The 939-nt window shown below is 51.7% G+C and overlaps 1 annotated feature.

Annotated features, from left to right (window-relative positions):
- Positions 372 to 511: an enhancer, noted in NCBI's record as "active region_25420". NCBI's record gives its function as "activates an Ori minimal core promoter by ATAC-STARR-seq in GM12878 lymphoblastoid cells {active_cell/tissue: GM12878}" and the evidence as "EXISTENCE:reporter gene assay evidence [ECO:0000049][PMID:35858748]".

The raw sequence follows: 939 nt of genomic DNA, 5'->3' as shown, positions 1-939 counted from the left end.
TGAATCCTCCTGACCCGCACTGACCTGCTCCAGTTAAAACAGGCATTAACAATGGGGGAGCAATTCATAGATAGGGAAGGGGACTAATTTTTCTGCTAAGCTTCACTCACCCTCAAGGACAAAAACAGTTCTGCAACAGCTTCTCTCTGCCTGTGTCCATTTGGAAACAAAGCAGATCCCAGGCAAAACCATGAGGTTGGCCCTAATCACCTGCCTAAGATCCAGCTTCCTCTTAATCATCTTAGGTGCCCCCCTTGCTCTAGCCCAGAGAGAAAGCACAGGCTGGCCCAGGGGGAGCTGAACCCCCATAATCCACAGCAACTCCTCCAGAACTCCCTGCAGTGACTACTGCACACCATGCCACTCTGAGACACAGTCACAAGACAAGTGCCCTAGTGTCTTCCTACCCATAACCCCTCCTACACAGAAGTTCAGGAGCTGCCAGTGGGATGATGCAGCCTCCCCTTCAGGGGCCCACTGCCCTGCCTTCCAAGCCCTTCCCATCACTGGGGCAATGAACCTGGCCTCACCACACTGTGTCCTGCTGAGATGTGTTGTCTGCTCATTGCTCCTTTCAGAAAAGCCTGCGAGAGAGAGGAAATGAAACAGAGATGGAAGGAAATGCAACCCTGGTAAGTGAGCTTTCTCCTCTGCAGCCTGCAGTCTCTGCTGGCTAAGAGTCTGGGCATTGGCAGCTTTGCAGGGTTGAAAAATGCCAAATGGTTCTGTGACCCAAGATGAAGCAGTGATAGCAGGGTGGCTCTAAAGAGGGAGAGCCTCAGCAAAGAAAAGCCTGACCCCAATCCTGTCTCAGTTACCTCTCCTGAAGAGTTCTTGGGTAGATCAGGGAAGCCAGCCCAGCAGGCAAAAATCAGAATACAAGTGTTGCCTTCCACCCAAGCCCATTTTTTCAGACACCCTCAAGGGGCCACTATTATA

Source organism: Homo sapiens, chromosome 6 (genome assembly GCF_000001405.40).
Source record: "Homo sapiens chromosome 6, GRCh38.p14 Primary Assembly".
Classification (NCBI taxonomy): Eukaryota; Metazoa; Chordata; class Mammalia; order Primates; family Hominidae; genus Homo; species Homo sapiens.
Note: the sequence above shows the minus strand (reverse complement) of the source record. Positions and strands in the feature narration are given on the sequence as shown.